General features: G+C 50.9%; 1 protein-coding gene across 1 annotated transcript, besides 2 other annotated features; it reads right to left on the bottom strand.

Moving 5' to 3' along the window:
• Positions 1-1,430: 1,430 nt before the first annotated feature.
• On the bottom strand, positions 1,431-17,246 carry SCART1 (scavenger receptor family member expressed on T cells 1). Its single transcript, NM_001396050.1, has 12 exons — positions 17,127-17,246; positions 14,637-14,954; positions 13,616-13,912; positions 12,535-12,831; positions 11,865-12,170; positions 11,021-11,704; positions 6,280-6,585; positions 6,017-6,085; positions 5,626-5,940; positions 4,810-4,956; positions 3,838-3,993; positions 1,431-3,344 (listed from the first exon to the last, which is right to left on the bottom strand). The coding sequence occupies exons 1-12, from the start codon at positions 17,191-17,193 to the stop codon at positions 3,223-3,225; spliced, it is 3,084 nt and encodes a 1,027-aa protein (NP_001382979.1). The 5' UTR covers positions 17,194-17,246; the 3' UTR covers positions 1,431-3,222.
• Positions 17,472-17,521: an enhancer, noted in NCBI's record as "active region_4253". NCBI's record gives its function as "activates an Ori minimal core promoter by ATAC-STARR-seq in GM12878 lymphoblastoid cells {active_cell/tissue: GM12878}" and the evidence as "EXISTENCE:reporter gene assay evidence [ECO:0000049][PMID:35858748]".
• Positions 22,760-22,960: a silencer, noted in NCBI's record as "peak1138 fragment used in MPRA reporter construct". NCBI's record gives its function as "represses an SCP1 promoter by STARR-seq MPRAs in K562 erythroleukemia cells {active_cell/tissue: K562}" and the evidence as "EXISTENCE:reporter gene assay evidence [ECO:0000049][PMID:32103011]".

Raw genomic sequence — 26,325 nt, 5'->3', positions numbered from 1 at the left:
CACCATATACCTGTTAGAATGTCAAACGTTATCAACCGAGTGTTGGAACCTTGTGGAGGAAGCAGAACACTCAGAGATTACTGGGGAGATGTAACATGATGCAGCCACTCCAGAAAGGTTGGTAGAATGTTAAACTTGCACGTACCTTACAATCGTTCCATTCCTAGGTAGCCAAGAGAAATGAAAGCACGAGTCCATATGACGACTGGTACATGAATATTTGTAGCAGCTTTTTTTGCAATAGCTGGAAGCTTTAAGCAATGCAAATGTCCATCAAGTGAACAGGTAAACAGCACAATGGAGCGCTATTTGCCAAGAGGAAGAAATGAACTATGGTTTCTCACCACATGGATGAATCGCAAGTAATTGTGCTGAGCGAAAAAAGCCAGACTCTCATCCCCGAAAAAAGAGTACATACTATATAATCCATTTACATAAAATTAAAATAGTGCAAACTAGTCTACAGTGTCAGAAAGCTGAACTTTATCACCTGAGGGGCAGGACACAGGAAGGGACAGGACAGATGTTCAAACATACATGAAAAACGTTGGGGGCGATGGATGCGTCCATTCTCATAGACGCTGCGATCCTTTCAGGGGTGTACGTGCATGTCAAAACTTATTGCAATGTATTCTTTAAATATGTGAAGTTTATTATATGCTAATTATACCCCCATAAACCTATTAAAACAAAATCACAACATATCAAAACTCTTGGAATGCAGCCAAAGCCATGCTAAAAGGGAAAGTTATAACCTAAAATATATGCATTAAAAAAGAAAAAATGCTGAATATCAACAATCTGAATGTCCATATAAAAAAGCTAGAATAAGCAGAAGGAAATCACAAAGATGAGAACAGAAATAAACGAATTAGAAGGCAGATGTTCACCAAGAAAAATCAAGAAAACCAAAGGCACAAGCTCCACGTGCCTTGGAAAGACTAATGAGATGAAGCCGCCAGCAGCACCGGTCAAGAACAGCAGAGTGCCCAGAGTCCCAGCTGTGCGGGGGGCTGTGAGGGAGGATCGCTAGAGCCCAGGAGTTTGAGTCTGGTGTGGGCAACACAGTGAGACCTTGGTCTCGAAAAAAAAAAAAAAAAAGGAGAGAAGACACAAATTGCCACTATCAGGATTGAAAAATGCACATGACTACAGATTTTGTAGACATTAAGGCTAGTAGAAAGATACTATTAACAAATTTATATGGAAAAACTTGAAAATTTAGATTAAATGTACCAATTCATTTTTTAAAAGGACTGAACAAAGCAGATCTAATAGGAAATAGAGAATCTGAATACTTCAACTATTTATTTTAAAAAATTAAATCTGGAAAAAAAAAACCTCACTAAAGAGGAAACTCCAAGCCTAGAGAGCTTTACTAGTGAGTTCTTCCAACATTTAAGAAGAAATAAAACCAATGCTACATAAACTCTTGCAAATTTTTTTAAATTATTCTTTAAGTTCTGGGGTACCTGTGCAGAATGTGCAGGTTTGTTACATAGGTATACACGTGTCGTGGTGGTTTGCTGCACCCATCAACCCGTCATCTACCTTAGGTGTTTCTCCTCATGCTATCCCTTCCCTAGCCCCCCACCCCCTGACAGGCCCCAGTGTGTGATGTTCCCCTCCCCGTGTCCATGTGTTCTCATTGTTCAACTCCCACTTATGAGTGAGAACATGCAGTGTTTGGTTTTCTGTTCCAGTGTTAGTTTGCTGAGAATGATGTTTTCCAGCTTCATCCACGTCCCTGCAAAGGACATGAATTCATCCTTTTTTCTGGCTGCATAATATTCCATGGTGTATATGTGCCACATTTTCTTTATCCAGTCTATCATTGATAGGTCATCAGAGTGAACAGGCAACCTACGGGATGGGAGAAAATTTTTGCAATCTATCCATCTGACAAAGGGCTAATGTCCAGAATCTACAAGGAACTTAAACAAATTTACAAGGTAAAAGCAAACAACCCCATCAAAAAGTGGGTGAAGGATATGAACAGACACTTCTCAAAAGAAGACATTTATGCAGCCAACAAACATATGAAAAAAAGTTCATCATCACTGGTCATTAGAGAAATGCAAATCAAAACCACAATGAGATATCATCTCATGCCAGTTAGAATGGCGATTATTAAAAAGTCAGGAAACAACAGATGCTGGAGAGGATGTGGAGAAATAAGAACACTTTTACACTGTTGGTGGGAGTGTAAATTAGCAAATATTTTTTAAAAGAGAATATACTCCTAACTCTTATGAGACCTGAATAATCCTCATACCAAAAATTAAACAGAAATACTACAATAAAAGAAAAAAATTACACATCATTTTCTTTTTTAAACATTGACCCAACATATTACCAAACTAATTCCTGTGAAATACAAAAAGAATAATATATCATGATAAAGGTAAGTTTGTTTAACCCATGGTTAATTTAACATATGAAAATCAATCATCTATCATCTTAATAGATACAAAAAAGAATTTGATAAAAGTCAACACTTATGATAAAAAGCAAAACCCTTAACAAATTAGGTATAGACTGGGCTTTCCTTGATCTGATAAATAGCATCTACAAAACTGAACATCAAATATTATATTTCATAGTGAAATTAAATGTGGAACACATTTGCTCTGAGTCCTTGAATGAGACAAGACCTCCACTGGCTGCCTCTCTTCAACACTGGACTGAAGGGTCCCAGCCCCCGAAATAAGGCACAGAAAAAGAGATTAAATGTACACGGATTGGAAGGAGAAGATAAATCTGAATATTCACAGATGACATGATTACACAAGTAGAACATTTAAAAGATACTTTGGATTCAATTAAGAAGAGTTTTTAAGAAAAAAGAGGAAGGTTCTGGCATGGGGAGCTCTGCAACCCACTGCTGGGTGCCAGAAGCGAGCTGTGGAGCGGAAGATGAAGATGGCACCATGTGTCTCTAAACCACAAATGGAACCACTGATTTCTATGTGTATTTGCATTTGCTGTAATGTGTGGGAAATCTGAAGGTTACACAGCACAACTGTCCACAGCAGATGGCCCTCGAAGGGGATGAGGTTTAGAGCCAGGCAGGGCCTGGAAGGACTGGATTTTACATGGACATGGAGGACATTGCAAGAGAAAGGCATCCAAGGTGTTCTCACGAAATCCACTACAATTGTACAAGAAAATGAAGAGCTGTGATTTCGACAGCCAGCTGGTGTATCTCATCCTCAGGTTGCTTTACAACGTCATCTCCTCCAGAGGAAACGCAGCCTCGTCATATCCCTGAGAAACAGGTCTGCTGTGTCCTCCCTCCGCACGTATAGACTGTCCCTCCAGGAGGTTAGACACCTCCCCTGAAACTGGCGCAAGAGACACCGCGTGACCAAATCAGCACACGTGCAAGTTGTCCCCAGAGCACATTTGGCAAAGCCCGTAAGACAGGAACGCATAAACATGTCAACCAGAAAGCACCTGGCAATGTTCAAGGCATCCTGACATTGAAGCACCCCAAGCAGCCTGTGACAGCAGCACAGCTCCCACAGGTGATGAAACTGAGGCTGAGTGAGCTGCAGCATATGCCCCTGCCAGACCCGCGGCTCCCAGCACACCCGACCAGCCCTCTTCTCCCACCACAGGGCAGGCCTCTCCGATGGGGACTCCAGCCACTGACTCTGCCCTCATGGGTGTGGCCCTGCTCTCCCCTGCCCACGAGTCCCTTTGCATCCATGAGCCCTGTGGTCAGCAGCCTTCTGAAGCCAGGCTCCTGTGGTCAGAGTCCCTTTCCACTGCATCTTGTGGTCAGCATCCGTAGCCCACCCCAGAGCTCACCCCTGAGCTGGAGCACAAACCCACCTGCGGCTTCTGTGTCCACCTTCACCACACTTCCGTCCTCCTCATCTTGGAGCACAGCCTCGGCCTCCATGATTTCCTCGTACAGTCCTGCTGGCGGCATTTCCCCAATGACATCATAGATGGCTTCTCCAGGAGATACCTCGGATCTTCCCAGACCTGAGGCAAGGTGAGCATGGTCACACACAGGCCCTCAGTGTGGATGTGGCCACAGGCAAGGGAGGACAGCAACTCCAGGCAGGAACCCCAGCCAGGCAGCAAAGAGGCAGGATGCTGTGGGCTGGGATGGAGGGACCACGGCAACATAGCCAGACTCCCAGTGCCCTCCCATCCCTGGCCACCGTCCCTTGCCAGCAAACCACATGATGCTTCCCAGTGGGCCCCAATGTGCTGCCTGGGGGAACCTTCTAGGGTTGAGCTCAGTCTTGAGGGCTGGAGGCTGATGCAGATGTCTGCCACTCTCTCTGGCCAATAAAATGAGCCCTAAGTGAGATCAGCCTGCAGGCTGAAGCAACTCTGCCCTGAATGCTGATCCACCGTGTTGACTTCTGACCAACTCCAGTTCCGGGAAGGCCTCTAAGATTTCTATTTTATCTACTGTTCCTTGCATAAGAGCATGCATTCACTGTAAATCCTGCCCTTAAGCAATTGTCCTACATGTCCCCTTCCCCTGAGGTATATAAGTTCTAGTTGTGAGGGATGATAATATGGGCATCCACCGTCTCAGCTAGAGGCCATCCAAGGCATGGACATGGCTTGTCTTCATAAGTCCCTTTTAAGTGTTTCTTTCTAAGGAACTGGATTTGTCTGCCTCTTTCTTCAGCTTCTCAGTTCCTTGGACTTTGGGGGTAGGTCTGCATAGGCCTGACTGCTGTGGGGCACCCCGCCTGCCCAGACCCCAACACCAGGCTGGAGCTGTGAGCTGCTCTTGCTCCTGCACACCAGTTGATGGGATCAGGGTGGGCTCACGCTTACCCCTCTGCATGGCTTGTGTGACTCGAGGCAGAATCAGAAAAGCCATGAGGCCCAGAAGGAGAAGACCAAGAAGGGATCCCAGGACGACACTGACCACCCAGAATGTCCGGAAGGGAGCTGCAGGCAGTGGGGGGCCTGGGCCAGGCTCTGAGAAAGGAGAGGTCTTGAGCCAGCTGGGTGGTGGGGGGGACCTGCACACCCTCAGCAGGACAGGGTGGCTCCAAGGGCCCAGCCACACCCTCTCCCTCATGGAGGACCTGCGAGTCGGAAGTGCTGGGGGGGCATCTGCTGGTTTCAGCTGTGCAGAGCACCCCAAAATGGCTAGTGTCCACTGGGGGTGTCTGCTTTCAAGGGACAGCCCCCTTCCTTGGTAAAACATGGCCCCCAGGCAGATGCCAGGGCAAGTCACAAGAGGTGACCAGAGCACAGAGAATGGGAGTGGCTCAGGGAAAGTTACCACTGCTGCTGCTTTTGCTAAGGTCATCACTGTGGTTAACTGTTTGTTTTCTGCAAAGAGAATGAGGTGCAGGGAACAACTGAACCTGCCAACACCCAGGTGACACATACCCGAAATGAACAAGGATTGGAATAAACAAAAGGGAATTCCCAAAAAAGATTAGGGGGAAACCCCAGGGAGTGCATGTCCCAAACAGGCCTCCACAGCAAATCAGCCTATCCCAGAAAAATCCCAGGGTGGAAACCAACCCACTAACACCTGGGCGAGCTCTCCTGCCCACCGAAGTGACACTCAAGACTGACTCCATCCCAGCGCCCTCTGCCGGCCCCATGACCGACTTCCCACCGCCCCCCACTCACCCCAGCAGCGCACGCCCGCGTCCTCCTCGTGCGCGCGGTCTCCGCGTCCCCACCGCTCCGCAGGGCAGCCCCACAGGGACGCCTCGCTGCCCCGGCACCCCACCTCGTCCAGCCACACGGGCCCGGAGCCAGGGCCAAAGGCGGCGGCCCCCAGGGCGGCGACGGCCCGACCACAGCCCAGCTGGCGGCACACGACCTCCGCGTCCGCCAGGTCCCAGCCATCGTCGCACACGGTGCCCCAGGAGCCCGCGTGCCAGAGCTCCACGCGCCCGGAGCAGCGGTCCTCGCCCCCGCGCACGCGCAGTGCGCCCTCCTCTGCAAAAGGGGCTGCGGTCACTGCGGGGGCTGGACCGGGATGGGAAGGAGGACAGCGACAAGGACAGAGGGGTACCTGGGCAGCCGAGCCAGGAGGAGCAGTTGAGGGGCTCCCCAGCAGCCTGTGGCCTGTCCTCTGACAATCCTGCGGGTTAAACAGCAGCTCTGAGAGCTTCGGTGCCCAGAGAAGCTTCACAAGGAAGGCTGTGGATCCTAGTGACCCCCAGGCCCAGGCTCTGATTGAATGGCATCCCCTGTAAGTGACCTGTCAGGACAGATAAACCTCTTCCCAGGCACCCCCAGAGACCTCTAATGCCCACCTGCACAGGTAATCCAGACCTGCTCTCGAAGGTCGCAAGAGTGCGGGTGCCATGGGTGGGAAGGGCATTGCCACAGAGTGGAGTTGGGCAGCCTGCGGCACTCGATGTTGTCCACCCAGGCGGTCCCGGTGCCCGCAGAGGGGAAGGGCCTGTTCTCCAGCCAGCCCCACTCCCCACACCCCACACCCCAGCTGCTTGCAGATGATGGACAAGGAGAGGTCCTTCAGGGCATTGCTGCACATGGCGCCCCAGGTCCCATTGTAGAACACGTCCAGCCACCCAGCACAGCAGCAGGTCCCACCTCGCAGCCTCAGAGCCACCGACTCTGCAAGGCAAGCACAGTCAGGCCAGGGAGTGCCCTGCCTGGGCACCATGGGCAGTCTCAGAAGGAGGGGGCTAAGCTCAAGGGGTCCCAGCACTGAGATCAGTTATAGAAACAGTATAGAGCTTCTTCAGAAAATTTAAACTAGAGCTACTACACAATCCAGCAATCCCACTGCTGTGTATAGACCCAGAGGAAATGAAATCAGCCCAGCAGAAACATCTGCACGCCCAGGTTCACTGCACGCCCAGGTTCACTGCAGCACCCAGGTTCACTGCACGCCCAGGTTCACTGCACGCCCAGGTTCACTGCAGCACCCAGGTTCACTGCACGCCCAGGTTCACCGCAGCACTATTGACAATAGCCAAGATGTGGAATGAGTGTAATGTCCAACAACAGATACATGGATAGAGAAAATACAGCATATACACAATGGAGTTACTCAGCCATTAAAAAAACAATAAAATCCCATCATTTGCAGCAATACGGATGGAACTGGAGGACACTGTGTTAAGTGAAACAAGCTAGAAAGCTAAATAGCACATGTTCTCACTCATAAATGGAAGCTTAAAAATGTTGATCTCCTAGAAGTGAAAAGCAGAACAGAGGATACTAGAGGTTGGGAAGGGTTGGGGGAGGGAGGGATAAGAGGAGATCTGTAAAGATACAAAATTACAGCTGGATAAGAGGAATAAATTCTAGCATTCTATAGCACTGTAGGATGACTGTAATTAACAGTATATTATATGGTTTCAAATCGCTGGAAGGAGGATATTGAATGTTCCCAACACGAAGAAATGATACATGTCTGAGATGATGGCTTTGCCAATTACCCTGATCTTATCACTACACATTATATGGATTGAAACACCACTATGAACCCCATAGAGATGTACAAAGATTGTCAATTTAAAAAAAGAAAACAGAAATGTGGTACATAGATGCTATGGAATACTGTTCAGCCTCAAATAAGAAGGAAATTATGTGATCCGTGACAACATGGATGAACCTGGAGGACATTATGTTAAATGAAATAAACCAGGAATGGAAAGACAAATTCTGCATGATCCCACTTACATATGGGAGCAAAAAAAAAAAAAAAAAGTCAAATACGTAAAAACAATAGAATGTGGTTACCAGGGGCAGGTGGTGGGGGAATGGGGAGATGTAGGTCAAAGGGTACACAACTGTGCAGGATGAATAAATCTAGAAACCCAACATACAGCAGGAGGAATGTAGTTAATAATATTGCATTGTACACTGGAAGTTTGCTAGGAAAGTAGATTTTAGGTGCTCTTACCACAAAACCAAACGTAACTTTGTGAGATGGTGGAATGTTCATTAGCTTGACTGCAGTAATTATTTAAGTGTGTGTGTGTGTCTGTGTGTGTGTGTGTACCTCAGCCCCATGTTCAGAGATAGCTTTGGTCCTGAGGGATCAGTGCCCAAATATGTTCAATGTTACCCTTGGAGCAGTGTAAAGTCCAAAAGACTAATATGGTCACCTAATGGCATGTTAGACAATCCTTTAAAGCTGTGCCATGGAGCACTGTAATAACGCTTTTAAAATACCTATACCAGGATACTTGGAGAACATTGGGTATGAATTGCATCTGATAGGATCATATCTAATTAAAATAAGCTTAGAAAGAATACTGGAAAGAAATACACTGTAATAGAATACAAAAGTGTCCATAAGTATCCCCTGCCTGTTTCCACACCCTCTCACTGAGTCTGGGCCCCAGTCCTTGAATCGCGGCTGGCTTGGGACTTGGGTCAAGGAATAGGGTCTGAGACTCTGTGCCTGTTCCTAGGCTGACACTGCTATCATTTTTGGAACCAAGGCTGGATCATGACAGAACAGAGCCTCCACTACTCCTGCCTTCAGCCAGGGCCCCGAAGCAAGGCTCCACCTAACCATCAAGTGACTGAAGGCACTAAGGGAGCCCGGCTGGGACGGAGAACCAGCAGCTGAGCACAGCCAAAGGCAATGACCACAGAGGTCGGAGCCACACACCTTGCTGCTGCTGCCTGTGGCAGGGCTGGTTACTCAGCATTAATTTCACATATGTTACGCATTCACGATGGCTTTATCTCTGGGTGTTGGGATTACAGATGGTTTTTTCTTTCTAATTTTTTGGACTCAAATTTTAATAACATGTAACATACTTTATATCTCATTCTCTCAAAGATATTAGCAATATAGTATTTTTGTAAGTCTATCAAAAGAAATCTTCTACCTATGTCTAGAAATTACTGTTCTAATTCTTCTTTAAAATAGCTTCTGCCCCTCAGATATGAACAGTCCCATCTGGTTTCCCAAAACAATCAAAGTTTGTACCCTGGACGTATGCACAGGACCTTGGGCAAAGCAGCAGCATAGGCACAAAATGCAGGCCATGTGGGTGGCCCAGAGCTGAGCAGGGCTCCACGGCCTGCCTGTCCACCTGCCCACACGTGGGACAGCAGGAGCCACGAGTGCCCCGCCCCACCCGGGGGATGCAGCCCTGTCAGGCAGGGACCCTGAGGAGCCTGGAGGGGCCAGAAGTGACCGAGGCATAGCTGAGACCCAGGTGAAAAAGAGGCAGCCCCAGGAATTGAACTGGCTGTGCCCAACATGCTGGCTCCAGCAGATGGTCTGACAGCCGGGTGCCTGTAGATGCCAGCTCAGATGGGGTCCCCAGAATGAAGCTTCACAGAAAAACAAATAAAGCAGCCACCGGAGGAAAATGCTGCAAACCAGAGAGCAAGGACAACATGGAAGATGCAGAGGAAGGGCTAACATCCGCCGCTTTCCACAGAAACCAGCAGAATGTTCTAGAAAATGACCTGTCATTCTCACTGAGATGCCAGAAAAAGATGGACCTTTTATGAGAGCAGAGCATCATGTCATTAGGAGAAAACAAGCTGCCGAGAATAAAGACACAAAAATGAGATGATGGACGAGGTGAGGAGGGCGAAATAATACACCAAAGGACTGAAGAGCAGAATCGACAGAAACACAGATTGTGACGTGGGTGCCACCTGGAGAAACACCCCAAGAATGCCTGGGGAAAGAGTCATGCCAAAATTAATTTCAGAAGCATAGGGAAGGCTCAAACTCACGAGACTCCAGCATTGCATACAAAGAACACAGTAATTGAAATAAACGTAATAATCCAAGATATCGCTGAAGAAAGCGTTCCTAAAGTAAAATATAAACCAAAATCAATGAGAAGAGCCCACACTTGGATAAGCTGCCAGAGACTCTGCCAGCATCCAGCCTCTCCCCCAGGGTTGCCTGAAAATACCCTGGGAGACCACAGGTCAGATGGGCAGCCCGTGACCCTCTCAGGAGACCGCAGGTCAGATGGGCAGCCCGTGACCCGCTCAGGAGGCCGCAGGTCAGGTGGGCAGCCCGTGACCCACTCACAGGCTTCTCCAGAGAACCCATCCCCCAAAATGACAAAATTCCATCACCCAAGAATGACCACACCTGGACAAGATCAGAACACAAAGACGCTCAGGTATGTGTGAATAATAATAATAATAATAATAAAGCTCATCCACCATCTCAAAAATAGTCTGCAAAATGGTCAGGTGCGGTGGCTCACACCTGTAATCCCAACACTTTGGGAGGCTGAGGCAGGTGGATCGCTTGAGTCCAGGAGTTTGAGACCGGCCTGGGCAACATGGTGAAACTCCATCTCTACAAAAATAAACGTTAGCCAGACATGGTGGCACATGCCCGTAGTCCCAGCTACTTGGGAGGCTGAGGCAGGAGGATGGTTTGAGCCCAGGAAGCAGAGGTTGCACTGAGTCAAGATTGCACCATTGCACTCTAGCCTGACCAAGATCTTGTCAAAAAAAAAAAAGTCTGCAAAAAGTTCTCCAGTACACCAAAATATGGATCAAAATTAAGAATCTGAAGCCAGCGGCAGTGCCTCACTTCTGTAGTCCCAGCAGCTTGGGAGGCTGAGGCTGAAGGATCCCTGGACTACAGGAGGTCAAGACTGCGGTGACCGGTGATGGGGCCACTGCACTCCAGCCTGGGCAACACAGTGAGACCGTCTCAAAATAAATAAATAAATAAATAAATAAATATTTAAATAAATATAAAATATTTTTTAAAATATATAAATATATATATATATATATGAATTTCGGATGGAAACTTCAAGCGCACTTGAGCTGGTTACGGCGGAAAATGAGCCCAGGTGGGGCTGCCCCAGGGCCAACCTGCGACAGGAAGCTGACCAGCTCCCCAGGTGCACGGAACCAAAGTACTTTGTCCGGTAGCACTTACTATACCAACAGGAACCTCACCCAATCCACTGTGGAAGTTCTGCATTCAGGGAAGAGAACAGCTCCCGATAGTTTGATGCTGTTCTGGAAAGCAAGTGCGCATGACTGTACGTAATAAAACAGCATGATCATTCCATACCCAACGGCCGCTCACCTGAGCAGAAGACGCCGGCGTCCTCCTTGTGCCTCCAGTCGTGCCGCCCCCAGCCCGCCGACGGGCACTGCCACAGCGCAGACTCGTGGCCCTGGCAGCCCAGCTCGTCCAGCCAGATGCGCCCTGCCCCGGCTCCGAAGTGTGCGGCCCCCAGGGCGCTCAGGGCGCGGCCACAGCCCAGCTGCCTGCAGACCACGTGCGCGTCCCGCAGGTCCCAGGCATCGTCACACACGGTGCCCCACGCGCCCCCGTGCAGCGCCCCGGCCCCGCGGCCAGCCGCACCCTGAGGCTCCCTGTGGAGAGACAGAGTCAGGGCGCCCGGGATCCCGTGGCGACGGGCCATGGGGGACGCGGTTCCGACCTCACCGGAGCACACCACGCCGGCGTCCCGCGAGGTCCCCGCGGGCTCCTGCAGGGTCGCGGACACGTTGCACTGAGTCAGGCGGGTTTCGGTGCCCAGACAGCGCACGCGGCTCAGCGCCACCTGGACGGATCCGCGGCTGGGGGCAGGTGCGTCATAGGCTTGCTGGGCCCCTCTGCACCCGAGTTGCCGGCACACCACGCCCGCGCCGCGCAGGTCCCAGGCATCGTCCAGGACGCGGCCCCACACGCCATCCAGGGAGACCTCCACGCGGCCGTCACAGCGGCTCTGTCCTTCCCTCAGTCGCAGGGCGTGGGCCAGACCTGGGGATGGGGACGCACAGGGGCCCAAGATGTCAGCGGGAGGGACCCAGGACCACCCCCCAGCAGGGCCCGTACCTCTCCGCCCCCTCTGTCCTTCCTTGCACTCCTCTGTCCATGCCTCTCACTCACCCTCCTGGTCCACCGTCCTGGCTGCACCCACCTGAGCAGACCGCGGAGGCTGTGTTTCCCGGGGCACAGGCCGGGGCCCCCAGGGTGCTTACTGGGCAATTCCACAAGTAGGACTCTGTCCCCTCACAGTGAAAGGCATCAGGCCAGATGGCAGCGTCCCCGTCCCCAAAATGGCCTCCTCCAGGTGCGGCCACCGCGTTGCCACAGTTGAGCTGGTGGCAGAGGACGGTGGCATCTGCTATGTCCCAGTGGGTGGCACAGAGGGGTGCCCAGGACCCCTGCACCTGGAACTCCACGCGGCCCTCACAGCTGCTGCTGCCGTTGACCATCCTGAACTCTGGGGGAGAGGAGGAGTCAGCCTGGCTTGCAGACGGCCGACCCAGAACATGGCTGTCTGTGGTCATTTCCTTCCTTCACACCCAGTGGGATGGGCACAGAGCCCAGCCTTGGTCTCACCAGCTCCCCCACCCTCCTCTGCATCAGCATCCAGCTCACACAGCTCTCCAGAAGAATTTGATCTTAGCTGCAGCCTTGGGGTACATCACTCTACACCCAGTCTCTTCCCTGCGCTTCTTTCAACCAACAGAAGCAAACATCAAAAGCACCCACACCTACTGGCCAGAGGCACCTTTAGGGCACGAAGGGATTTGACAGAGAACAAGGCAGGGCTGAGCCTTCAGAGCCCACACACAGGACTTCACCTGAGCACCTGAGCCCCGCGTCGTGACCATGCCCACACTGGCTCCCACGCCCCCGTGGGCAGTGGAACAGCAGCGACTCGTTGCCCGCACAGCGGAAGGCCTCCGTCCACACCGGCCCCGAGCCCCGGCCGAAGCGGGCGCCCTCGGGCGTGGACACGACCGCCCCACACTGCAGCTCCCGGCACACCACGTGGGCCGTGGCCAGGTCCAGGGCCGCATCACAGACGGTGCCCCAGGTCACCTCCAGGCGCCCGGCGCAGGGGTGCTCGCCGCCCACCAGTCGGGCCTCGGTGTGTCCTGGGGGCAGACGTCCTCTCAGGCAGGAGACAGGTGTTCTCAGGTCAACAGCCTGGCCCTGAGCCTCAGACTGCGGAAGGCTTCAGCCAGGAGCCATCACCTGCATCTAGGCAGAGGGTCTACCAAGCACAGGCAGGAACTTGCAGCCACAGGCCCTTCCACCCGGCACCCAGAGCAGAGCAGACGTCCTTGGCCGCATCACCAAGGTCAGGGTCAGGGTCACCTGCTGCAGGTGCTCACGTATTTCACAGCCTCTGCCTGTCCGAGGCCATGACAGCAACACCCTCTGCAATCCCAGAGGCGAGGTCAGGGCACCCCTTGGTCCACTGAGCACCACCCTCTCTGGGGTACCGCAGCAGGCAGACTATCCACCTCATTTCAGCTGCTCCTCATATGCACAACAAGGCCAGGAGCTGTGAGGCCAGTGCAGCTCACACACAGTTGAGGCAGGGCTGGGAAGAAGTGACCTCTACCCAACCCCGATCCATGTTAGACATGCAGAGATCACAGCTGAGGCAGCTCAGACTTGCAGCGGCAGCCAGGACCCCTAGATGGCCTGCGGGTTCTGAGCCAGGACACCTCTGTGGGGCCACCAGAAACTCAGCTCCACTCTGCTGAGAACCAGCGTGAGAGCTGAGGCCCTTTCCCACCTCTGCGCCCAATGTCTCATGCAGGACAGGGGGGCCCATCCGTGGGAACGCCCACCCCCCTTCTCCCTGCCCTCCCCAGGTCCGGGCCCAGCATCATCCCAAGGGTCACTGGGAACATCAGGTGGCAGCCTCACCTGAGCAGACCACCTCTGCGTCCAGCCGCAGGTCGCAGCCGCTGCGGAAGTTGTTGTCCAGTCTGCAGCTGCGGATGGTGGGCTCGGTACCCCTGCAGGCCAGGTACTTCCTGACGACGCCCACGTCCCGGCGGGGGGCCTGGAGCACAGGGCCGCACCCCAGCTCCCGGCAGAACACCATGGCCTCCTCCACATGCAGGACACAGAGGCGGTCCACCCCATTCACGTTTCTGATCTCGGGGAGTCCCGCGCAGGGACTGCGGCCCTTCACCAGCCGGAGCTCCCGGAAAGTGCCGTCTGTGGAGCACAGGCCGGTCCTCCTTAAGGTATGGACCCAGCTGGCCGCATGGTCACTCGGCAGCTCCTTTTTCAGGGAGGACAGTGATGGGCTGAGCCAGGGCCAGCTTCAGGGGCAGGTGACCGGGCAGTCACACAGGGCCCTGGGCTCAGAGAGACCCCTGTGCCCAGCTTCATGCTCTGCTGCTGGTCTCCTGAAACAAGGTTCCCCGCAGGATCCGTTCACACTGGGCCCCAAAATGGTAGGAGGTCCTGGCCAGGTGGTTCAGCCTCAGAGGCAGGACGCTATGAGGGGGTCCTCACAGCCACATAAAATGTGAGGGACAGCTGAGGACCCTCGAGCCAGACCTCAAAGGGAAAGCGTGTACCTGTCTGTCATTTGTCTAAGAAACCATCATCAGCTACCTGTGTGGGCCTCAGGCGTCCACAGACCCCGCCCCCGCTCGGCTGCTGCCTCCCCCACGCCTGGGCCGCACTCTGCTTCCTTCCTCCAATCTCTGACTCTCCCTGGCGTTGGTTTTTCCACAGCTGAATCTTACAGTCAGGATGGCCCCGGTGCCCAGAGAGGAGCCCCTCCCAGAGAGAGCTCCAGACCCACAGCCTCCCCGCCCGTCTCCGAGACCCGCCATCCTCCCAGTCCTCCTCTGCGTCCTCCCAGTCCTCCTCCTCGTCCTCCCACTCCTCCTCCTCCTCAGCCCCGTCCCCTTCACTCCTCCCTACTTACTGGAGCACAGCGCGACCACCACCCATGCGTGGGGGCACGGGCTCTGGCACCATGAGCCAAGGCTGCACTCCCAGAGGGAGGACTCGTTGCCCCGGCAGGACACGTTGTGAAGCCAGGGCTGGGCCATCTCTCCAGGCAGCGGGACATACTTGGGGGCGCCCACGGCAGGGCCGCAGCCCAGCTGCCTGCACACGACAGAGGCCTCTGCCAGCGTCCACTCCTGGTTGCACACGTATCCCCATGCCCCGTGGTGTCGGACCAACACCACTCCGTCGCACGTGCTGTGTCTGTACGCCAGCCTCAGAGCACCTGGTCCACCTACAGACAGACAGGTCCAGTTAGAGGGGCCAGAACCAACCAGAGGCGCAGGAGGAGATGGCAGCCGCGGCAGCAGGGAACGGCCTGTGAGGCCTCAGCAGCGAGTCGGGCTCCTCTCACCCCACCAAGCAGTCCCAGAGAGGTGATGGGCGCGGCTCACAGAGAAACCCTCACCCCATGTGTCTCCCCGGGGGCTACTCCCCTCCCTGGCCCTCTGGAGCCCCAACATCCTGGAGGACCCCATCCCCCAGGCAAGGAAGTCCCCTGTCCTCCTGGGTCTGCAGCTGGGTGGGTCCTCCCACCCACTCTCTGCCTCCCAAGCATCATTCCCCTACTTCCACTGGAGGCCCTGTGGTCTCCAGCCCACCACTGTCACACCTGCCCCACCCACGTGACTGTCCACACCCCTTGGAGTGCCCCGCTCACCCTTCGGTCCTGTCCTCTGCAACCCTGAGTATCCAGGAAAACCACCCCTGCCTGCCCTCCCACTATGCCAAACCCAGCCCCACTACCCCACCCATACCGGCTTCCAGGCAGGATCTCACCCTCCGGTCTCTGAGCATCTCAGCTACTCCAGCACCTTCTCTCCCACCCGCCACGGAGGCACCCCTAACCACCCTCTCCAGGCCTCTGCAACCCCACATCAACACAGCCACCCCGAGGAAAATGAAGCAACCAGTAGGAGGAAGTCCATGTGGGTGGTGCTGTGTGGTCCCAGAGCAGCCTCCAGGGCCCCTGGAGGACTCTCCACACCCAGAAAAGAGCCTCCCCGATGGCAGTCAGGAGCAGAGGGGGGACCCTGCCTGGTCCAAGATGAAGACCTTTCCCTCCCACCTCCTGGGGAGCCTTGAATCTCCTCTCTCTCAGTCTTCATCCATCCCTCCACACCCCCCAGCCTCCTCATCACCCTCCCCACCTGGTTCTTCTCAGGACATGGATGCGTGCTGGTGTCTGCAATTTTTTCTTTTTTAGACAAAAGTCTCGCTCTGTCACTCAGGCTGGAGTGCAATGGCACGATCTCAGCTCACTGCAATGTCCACCTCCAGGGTTGAACTGATTCTCGTGCCTCAGCCTCCCATGTAGCGGGAATTATAGGCGCCCACTACCACGACTGGCTAATTTTTGTATTTTTAGTAGAGATGGGGTTTCACCATGTTGGCCAGGCTGATCTCGAACTCATGACCTCAGGTAAACTGCCTGCCTCAGCCTCCCAAAGTGCTGGGATTACAGCCATAAGCCACCACGCCCGCTATGAATAGCTTTTCATTTTATATTTTCTAAAGCTATTTCTTGTTGTAATAGAGAATTCCGGCCCTTGTGCATGCGATCGTTGACACAAAAGCAAATCCCTTCAACCCCAGGCTTCCATCCATCTGTGGCCACATTGCTGCCTTTCCTTCAAATCCTAACCTCCTCTGCACTTTCTGCAGCTGCCCACAGACTTCCACCCCACCGCTGGGGATGTGGCTCCGTCCAGCACCAGGTCACCGCCCTGCTGGGCACCTGGACCAGCCTTGACAGTGAAGTGTTCCTCAGCCTCAAGGGCACCCTCCCCTGCCTCCCGCCCAGCCCCACACTCACATCATGGCTCCATGCCCACGTACGCAGGTCCCCGGGGCTCCCTCTCACCTCCAGCCTCTCCTGCTGTTCCTTCTAGCTAGACCCCCCTCTCTACACCTCCCTGCCCCTGACCCAGCAGCCCTTCCACATGGCTTCACACCCCAGTGTCTCCACCTGGGTGCAGCATCTCCATGGGACCCCATGCTCAACCTCACTGCCAGATGCAGCCAACCCTCCCACCTCCTTCCCAGGACCTCAGCCCTGCTCCAGGGCACGTGGATGGAGCAGCCCCCGCAGGACCCCTCAGGACTCTGTTGATCAGGGTCATTGGGACCAGACACTGGGCCGTGTCCCTCATTTTGTCCAGGGCCTGACCCAGCCCTGAACCCTGGGTTCCAAGCAGTGGGGCTAGGGTCTGGGGGCCCTGAGGTCACAGGGATCCAGCCATGTGGAGTCACCTCCCTCCTGCCCCAGCATGTCCCACCCACTCTGGGCTGAGTGAGACCCAGGCAGACGGCAGGTCACTGCAGGGACCCTCATGCCCCGGGGCCTGGGCATCAACAGAGCTGATGCCTCCAGAAAGTTCCATGGATGAAGGAAGCAGAAACTTACCAATGGGGACTGCCCAGAGATTCAGAAGAAGGGGCCCGAGTCCCAGGGTCCAGAGAGCTGCCCTCATGGTCCCACAGCCCTCTGGGCTTCAGCAAGCTCTCGCTGCTTAGCTGGGGCAATGGCAGAGGTCACAGCCCAGAGTCACATATACAGAAGTGGGAGCTGCCAAGGACCTCCAGGGTCCAATGGGGACAGCCACAGCCTTTCCAGAGCGAATCAGCAGCTCTGCCTCTCAGCCGTGAGCAGAGCAGCCAATGCCTTGCTGGCCTGAGCATCACCAGACATGGGGAGGGTGCAGGCTGTGGGTTTCCTCCCACACTGATCAAGCTGCTGATGGGACTAGACCCAACCATCAGGCAGAGATGGTCCAACCTGCCCACAGCACAGCATCAGTGAAGCCCTGCGTCTCTGCCCTCCACCCGGGCCCGTCGGCTTCAGCCATGCCACCACCACAGAAGGCAGTGGCCCCAGACAGCCAAGGAGGCGTCCTCTGTGCCAGCAGATGGCACTAGCAGAGTTAGGGGTAGGGGTAGGATTAGGGTTTGAGTGGGAGTCCCAGCAGCACCAGAAGAATGACACGGAAGAGCTTTGCAAGAACTCTGAGAACTGAACTGTCGTTGGAATGAAAACCCTTGAGAGAAGATACAGTTAAGAATCACTCATCATATGAAGACCCAGGGACACGACCATTTCAGTAAGAGACAACCAACTAAGGGCGGCACCAGGAAGAGTCAGGTGTCAGAATTATCTGACAAGGATTTTAAAACAGGCATCATAAAAATGTTTCCACAACAAATTGCAAATGCTCTTGAAATAAGTGGAAAAATTGAAATCTCAGCAAAGAAATAGAAGTTATAAAAATGGAACAGGCTAGGCGCAGTGGCTCACGCCTGTAATCCTAGCACTTTGGGAGGCTGAGGTGGGCAGATACCTGAGGTCAGGAGTTCGAGACCACCCTGGCCAACATGGTGAAACCCTGTCTCTACTAAAAATACAAAAATTAGCCGGGCAGGGTGACATGCACCTGTAGTCCCAGCTACTCGGGAGGCTGAGGCATGAGAATGGCGTGAGCCCAAGAGGCGGAGGTTGCAGTGAGCTGAGATTGCACCACTGCACTCCAGCCTGGGTGACAGAGCAAGACTTTGTCTTAAAAACAAAATGAAACAGTGGTAAGGATGTAGAGAAATGGGACCTCTCAGATTTTGCTGGTAGATTCAAAAATGGTGCAACTGCTTTGAGAAAGTTTGGCAGTTTGTCAAAATGTTAAACAGAGATACTCCTGGAAGATACCACTTGAGCCCAGAAGGGGCAACTCCACTCTTGGGTACATATCTAAGAGGAATGTAAACTTATGTCCACACAAAAATCTCTACATGAATGTCCATGCAGCATTATTCATAATAAAGATGAAAACAGCTCACGTGTGCATCCACTGATAAATGGAGAAACAAAATGCGGTATGTCCACATTATGGAATGTCACTCAGCCATAGAAAGGGAACAAGGCACCCACACAGGCTGGATGTGCGTCAACCTTGAAAACATGCTCAGTGAGAGAAGCCAGATGTAAAAGACCACATACTGGGTACGATTCCATTCATATGAGATTTCCAGAATAGGCAAATCAATAGACAAGGAAATTAGATTCATGGTTTCCAGGGGCTAGAGAAGGAGGAAAGAGAAAATGACTGAAAATAGTATAGTGTTTTTCTTTTTTATTTTTATTTATTTATGTATTTATATATTCATTTATTTATTGGGAGACAGAGTCTCACTTTCTCATCCAGGCTGGAGTGCAGTGGCATGATCATAGCTCACTGCAGCCTCAACTTCCTGGCCTCAAGTGATCTTCCTACCTTAACCTCCTGAGTAACTGGGACTATAGGTGCATGCCACCATGTCTGGCTAATTTTTTAAATTTTTTTGTAGAGATGGAAAGCCTTGCCATGTACCCAGGCTGGTCTCAAACGCCTGGCCTCATCGGACCCTCCCACCTTGGCCTCCCAAAGTGCTGAGATTACAGGTGTGAGCCACCACAGCCAGCTACAGGATTTCTTTTTCAGGTGATGAAAATGTTCTGAAATTAGTGGTGCTGGTTGCATAATCCTGAATATACTAAAATCCTCTGCACCACACACTTTAAAAGAGTGCATTTATGATACATGAACCTCAATTAAATTGTTTTTAAAATAAATGATTACAGAACTGAAAATATAATAACTGAAATGTTAAAAACTCAATGAACGGACTAGTAGAATGGAAATGACAGAGGAACCAGTGAACCTGATGATACTTCAATAGAATTTACACAGTGCAAACAACAGAGAGAAAATAGAAAAATTTATAGAGCCTCGGGGATCTGTGGGACAATAATAACAAGACTTAATCTTTGTATCTGGGAAATTCAGGAAAGATAAGAGAGCGTATGGGGCTGAAAATGTATTTAAAGTAACAACTACTAAATATTCTCCAAATATGGTGAAAGGCACAAAACTACAGATTCAAGAAGCTGAGAAATCCAAAATAAGATGAATTCAAAGACATTCACACCAAGACACATCATAATTAAACGTTTGGAAACCAAAGGAAAAAAAAATCCTAAAAACAGCCAGACAAAAAGGATTGCACTGACTATAAAAAATGGTAAAATGTGAATTACAGCTAATTTCTCGTCTGAAATGGAAGCAAGCAGGAAGTGCCTTATTTTTAATTGACATGTAAGAATTGTACATATTTATGGGATACAGAGTGATACTTTGATACATGTGTGCAATGCATAATGATCGAATCAGGGTAACTACCAAACCCATCAAACATTTATCATTTATCTGTTGGGAACATTCAAAACCCTCTCTTCTAGCTATTTGAAAATACACAACAAGTTATTTTGAATTATAGTCACCCTACAGAGCTACAGAACACTGGAACTTATTCCTCTGTAACTTTGTATTTATTAAACAACCTCTCCCTATCTGCTTCTCCCCTAACCCTTACCAGTCTCTAGTAACTCTAATTCTACTCTACTAATATGAGGTCAATTTCTTAGTCCCGACATGTGAGTGACAACTAGCAGTATTGCAGTATTGATATTTTTGTACCTGATTTATTGCACTTAATAGAATGTCCTACATGCACACACTGCCACAAATGGCAAGTTTTTTTTTTTTTTTTTGAGATGGAGTTTCACTCGTGTTGCCCAGGCTGGAGTGCAATGGTGCAGTCTCGGCTCACTGCAACTTCCGCCTCCCAGGTTCAAGCGATTCTTCTGCCTCAGCCTCCCAAGTAGCTGAGATTACAGGCACATGGCACCACGACCAGCTAATTTTTGTATTTTTAGTAGAGACAGGGTTTCGCCATGTTGGCCAGGCTGGTCTTGAAATCCTGACCTCAGGTGATCCACCTGCCTTGGCCTCCCAAAGTGCTGAGATTACAGGTTTCTTTAATCTACTTATTTTTTTTCTTGAGACACCCCCAGGGTCTCATTCTGTGGCCCAGGTTGGAGTGCAGTGGCATGATCTTGGCTCACTGCAACCTCTGCCTCCTGGACTCAAGTAATCCCCCTACCTCAGCCTCCCTTGTAGCTGGGACCACAGGTGCATGCCACCACACCCAGATAATTTGTTTTTTTTTTTTTTTTTTTTTGTAGAGATGGGGTTTCACCATGTTGCCCAGGCTGGTCTCAAACTCCAGGACTCAAGCAATCCACCAGTCTTGGCCTCCCAAAGTGCTGGGATTACAGGTGTTAGTCACCATGCCCAGCCTATTTCACTCTTTTTTATGGCTTAATAGTATTCCATTGTGTATATATATTACATTTCCTTTATATAGTTATCTATTCATGAACACTTAGGTTGATTCCATGTCTTGTCTATTGTGAATAGTGCTGCAGTGAACATAGGGGTGCAGATATCTCTTCAATTCACTGATTTCCCTTCCTTTGGATAAATACCCAGTAGTGGGATTGCTGGATCATATGGTCGTTCTATGTTTATTTTTTTTTGAGGAAACCCCATACTGTTTTCCATAATGGCTGTACTAATTTACATTCCCACCAACAGTGTGTAAGTTTTACCATTTCTCTGCATTCTCACCAGCATTTGTTACTGTTTGTCTTTTAGATAAAAGCCCTTCAAACTTGGGTGAGATGATATCTTATTGTGGTTTCAATATGCATTTCTCTGGTAATTACTGATGTTGAGCTTTTTTCCATATATTTTGGTTCTTTATATGTTTTCTATTGATAAATGCCTATTCAGAAACTTTCACCCATTTTTTTATCGACTTAATTTTTTTTTTTTTTTTTTTTTTGCTATTCAATTGTTTGAATTCCTTATATATTCTGATTATTCACTCCTGGTCAGATGGATAATTTGTGAATATTTTCTCCCATTCTGTTGGTTGTTACCTTGTCATTTGTTTCCTGTGCTGTGCAGAGCAATTTTAGATTGATATATGCCCATTTGTCCATTTTTGCTTTCATTACCAGTGCTTCTGAAGTTTTGTTCATAAAATCTTTGCCCAAACCAATGTCCTGACTCATTTCCCCTATATTTTCTTCTGGTAGTATTATAGTTTGGATCTTACATTTAAGTCTTTAATCCATTTTGAGTTGATTTTTATATGGTGAAAGATAGAGGCCTAGTTTTATTTTCTGCATATGAATATCCAGTTTTCCCAGCACCATTTATTGAAGAGGGTGTACTTTCCCCAAGTGTGTTCTTGGCACTTTTGTCAAAAGTCAGTTAGGGCTAATGTGGATTTGTTTATGGGTTCTGCATTTTGTTCAACTGCCCTGTGTGTCTGTTTTCATACCAGTACCATGCTGTTTTGGTTACTATAGCTTTGTAGTATGTTTTGAACCCAGGTAGTGTGATTCCTCCAACTTTGCTCTTTTTGGTCAGGATTGCTTTAGCTATTCAGAGTCTTTGTGGTTTCATAGGAATTTTAGGAATCTTTTTTCTATTTCAGTGAAGAATGTAATTTATATTTTGATAGGAATTGCATTGAATCTACAGATTGTGTGGATAATATGGTTATTTGGACAATATTAATTCTTCCAATTCATGAACATAGGATGTCTTTTCTTTCTTTTGTGTCATGTTCAATTTCTTACATCAGTGTTTTGTAGTTTTCATTGTAGAGATCCTTTACCTCCTTGGTTAAATTTATTCCTGGGGGTGGAGGTTTGTAGCTATTGTGAATGGGAATGCTTTCTTAATTTCTTTTTTAGGTAGTTTGTTATTGTTGCATAGAAATGCTATGGATTTGTGTTTGTTGATTTTGTATTCTGCAACTTTACTGAATATATTTATCAGTACTAAAAGTTTTGGGTGGAGTCTTAAGGTTTTTCTATATATAAAATTATGTCATCTGGAAACAGGGACAACTCGACTTCCTCATTTCCAATTTGGATGGCTTTTATTTCTTTTGTCTAACTGTTCTGGCTAGAACCTTCAGTACTATGTTGAATAAGAGTGTTAAAAGTAGACATCCTTGTCTTGTTCCAGTTCTTAAAGAAAAAGCTTTCTACTTTTCCCCCAATCAGTATGATTTTGGCTGTGGGTTTGTCATATATGGCCTTTTTTTTGTATTGAGGTACATTCCTTATATACCTAATTTGTTAAGAATTTTTATCATGAAGGGATGTTGATTTGATTAAATGCTTTTTCTGCATCTCCTAAGATGATCATATGGTTTTTGTCCATTCTGCTGTTGTGATGTACCACATTTATTGATTTTCATGTATTGAACCATCCTTGCATTCCTGAAATAAATCCCACTTGATCATGGTGTATAATCTTTTTGATATGCTGTTGGATTTGGTTTGTTAGTATTTTGTTGAGAATTTTTACATCTATTTTCACCAGGGATATTGGCCTATAGTTTTCTCTTTTAGTTGTGTCCTTGTCTGGTTTTGGTGTCAGGGTAATTCTGGCCTCATAGAATGAGTTTGGACAAATTCCACTCCCACACCCCCCGCCTTCAAGTTTCTGGAATAGTTTGAGAAGAGTTAGTATTTTTTCTTTTTAAAGATTGGTAGAATTCAGCTGTGAAGCCATGCAGTCCTGGTCTTTTCTTTGTTGGGGGACTTTTTATTACTCATTCAATCTCGTTACTCATTAATGGTCCGTTCATGTTTTGTATTTCTTCTTGGTTCAGTCTTGGTAAGTTATATGTGTCCAGGAGTTTGTATAGTTTCCAAAGTTATTCTTGGTATTAATTTCTAGTTTCACTGTGGTCTGAGAAGATACTTGATATGATTTTTATTTTGTTGTCATTTTGTATATCCTTTTTTCCTTTCTTCCTCTCTTAGTGTCTATCTTTGCAGTTTGGTGGTTTTTGTAATGATAAGATTTTATTTCTTTCTCGTTCTCATCTGATTTCCTAGTGATTTTTATTCTTTTGTAAGTTTTTATCATGGTGGTTAACATCCTATCACTTCTAGATGTAGGACTCCCTTAAGCATTTCTTGTAGGGCTGATCTAGTGATGATTAATTCCCTCAATGTTTGCCTGTCTTGAATCCAGACACAGGACCCACAGAATCAGCAATGCGTGCAAAGCACATCACTGACGCCAAAGCTGGTTTTCTCCAGGCCTGCAAAGTTGCATTTAGGAAAAAAGCTAACACTAGAAAATCAATCACTGTAATTTGCCACACTGAAAGGCTAAGGGAGAACAATCATATTGTCATTTTCAAAGATGTAAAATTTTTAATATAGAATTCAGTATCCATTTCTGATAATAAAGTGTTTGCAAACTAGAACTAGAAGGGAACTTCCTTAATCTGAAAACAAGAACATACAAACGCAGCTCACAGAAGCGTCCCCGTTCCTGCTCTCACCACCTGCAGCCCACTTTGCCCTGGCGGCCAAACCCAGTGCAGAAAGATAAAAAAGAAAAGGCACGATGCTTGGAGAATGACAGTCAAGACCAGCGTGACTCACAGACACGCTGCTGGGAATGCCGAGACCCACAGGAACCACGGATCAGTTAGCGACATGGGAACGTTTAGTGAGTTTACTGAACATAGACAAAAGTCACTTGTTTTTCTACATATAAGCAATGAACAGAAAATGACTTTTTAAAAATACCTACCACTTACAAAGGCAACAAAAATACCAACTTTCTAGGAATTAATCTGGTGAAAGACGTGGAAGACGTTAATGCAGAAAGTTGAGAGGCGTTGAAGGAAGATCTGAGTAAATGCGGAAACGCACCACGTTTCTGGGTTGGAAGCTTTCCTGTTGCAAAGATGTGAAATTTCCCCCAAAGTAAACTCTAGGAGGGAGACGGGACTTGAGAACTGACTTAAGATTCACATGGAAATCCAGCCCACAGCGGAGGGCGGAGAAGGCTGTGGGGTTTCACAACCAGGCGGCCGCGGGTTCTCCCTGGGCGGTGCTGAGGAGTGGGGGCGTCCGGGGGCCGTGTTGGGAGTGGGTTCCTCCCTGCCAGCCCGGCGTGGGGGGAGGGGACCCTCGTGGATGGGACCCCAAACGCGCACACACACAGCCAGGAGGCTGCCCGGGGCCCCCGGGCCCAGGACGTATGGCTGCGGGCGCTGTGCGGGGCGGGGTCCCCGGGGCGGGTCGCTGAGGGGTGGCGGCCCCGGTCTTGGGCTCTCAGTGAGGCGGACCCGGGGCCGTGGGAGAGACCGTGAGAAACGGGCAGGACCTGGAGTCTGCACCTGCCCGAGGCGGGGGGCGCGGTGGGGCGTGGGGCTGGGTGGGCGGCGCCGCCACGGTGCGCGCCGGGTCCAGGAAGAGCCTCCCGCGCGTGCAGAGGCCTCAGCCCGGGGACTCCAGGTGGGGGCTCTGCCTGTGGGTGGGTGGTCGCGCCCGGAAGCTGCCCCGGGAGAGGGGGCTCCGCCAGGGCAGGGCTGGCCCGGACGGGGCAGGGCAGAGCCGCGAGTCCGCGGTGCTCGTGCCCTCGGGGGTCCTGGCCGCCCCGGCAAAGCCTCCTGGTGGGCACCGCAGGGCGGAGCTGGGCTGCGGCCACCGACGCAGGCCCAGAAAAGCTCCCGGGCTGCCCCAGGCACAAAACTGGAGGAGATGAGAATGGCGCCTTCGCCGACGGACACCCAGCCTCTGCTCTCCCCCCACCCACAGCCCCGGCCTTTGGAGCCCCGGGGTCGGTCCCGACGCACCCCAATGCCCACCTCCAGCCCAGGCCCCTGCTCCACACGCCTGTGTCCATGCCTTTGCCCAGCCGCTCCTCCATCTCTGCACTTGCACCCCAAAACCTTACTTCCGACTTCCCCCAGCCCCCAAAACCACGCTGACCTCACAGCCTTCGGCTTATCTCTGTTCTACACCCACATCCAATCCATCAGCGAATCCATCGGGCTGCACCCCGGCAGGGTCTGCCCGATTTCAGCTACGAGGGCCGCCCCCAACTGGGCCCTGCCCCGCCCATGCTCCACCAGCGTCCAGAGGTCGAGGGGGCTCCTTGAAAGCAAAGTCACATCAGTCCCCTCTCTGCTCGCCACCCCGCAGCCACTCAGTCGGTGACAGCCGAGGACACACCACAGGCCTGTGTGCCGACACCCACCGCTGAGCTCAGCCCTCCCTGCCCACTGCTCGTCCCCCACCACGCAGGGCCCAGGCCCACCTTCACCTGCGCAGCCGCTGTCCCCTTCCCTGGCACTCTCTTCCCTGACACCTCCAGGGTGGACCCTGGCCTTGGGTGTTCTGTCCAAGCAGTGGCCCTGATCCCACTCCTTTGTGTGCCTGCCTCTCCATGCCACGCTCCACCCCCGCGTGCTGCAGAGTTACCCACCATTAGCTGTTGTCTGTCTCCCTCCAACACCTGATCCCCCAGGCAAAAATTCATGCGTCCACTGCTGGGTCGGAAGCCAGTGCTGAGGCCCAGTAAGGACCCTCAGACATGGCTGAATGTGAATAAATGTGACATTTATGAATGTGGTTTTGGGACGTGGGAACACAGAGCCATACACCTGCCCCCGGCAGCCTTGGAGGTCTGTACCCCGTGTGGACCAGGACACCAGGCCAGGCTGGATGGACTGATCAGCTGTCTCTGGGACCAGTGAAGTCCCTTCTCCAAGCACACACAGAAGGCAGGGGCCAAAGACCCCTTGGTGGGTCCTGAGCACCTTCTCCTGACCTCCCACTGCCCTCTGCCACCTTGAGCTGTCCAGCCTGGACCACCCCTCTGTGGAGCATCAGCCAGGCTCAGCCA

This window comes from Homo sapiens, chromosome 10, assembly GCF_000001405.40.
Source record: "Homo sapiens chromosome 10, GRCh38.p14 Primary Assembly".
NCBI lineage: Eukaryota > Metazoa > Chordata > Mammalia > Primates > Hominidae > Homo > Homo sapiens.
Note: the sequence above shows the minus strand (reverse complement) of the source record. Positions and strands in the feature narration are given on the sequence as shown.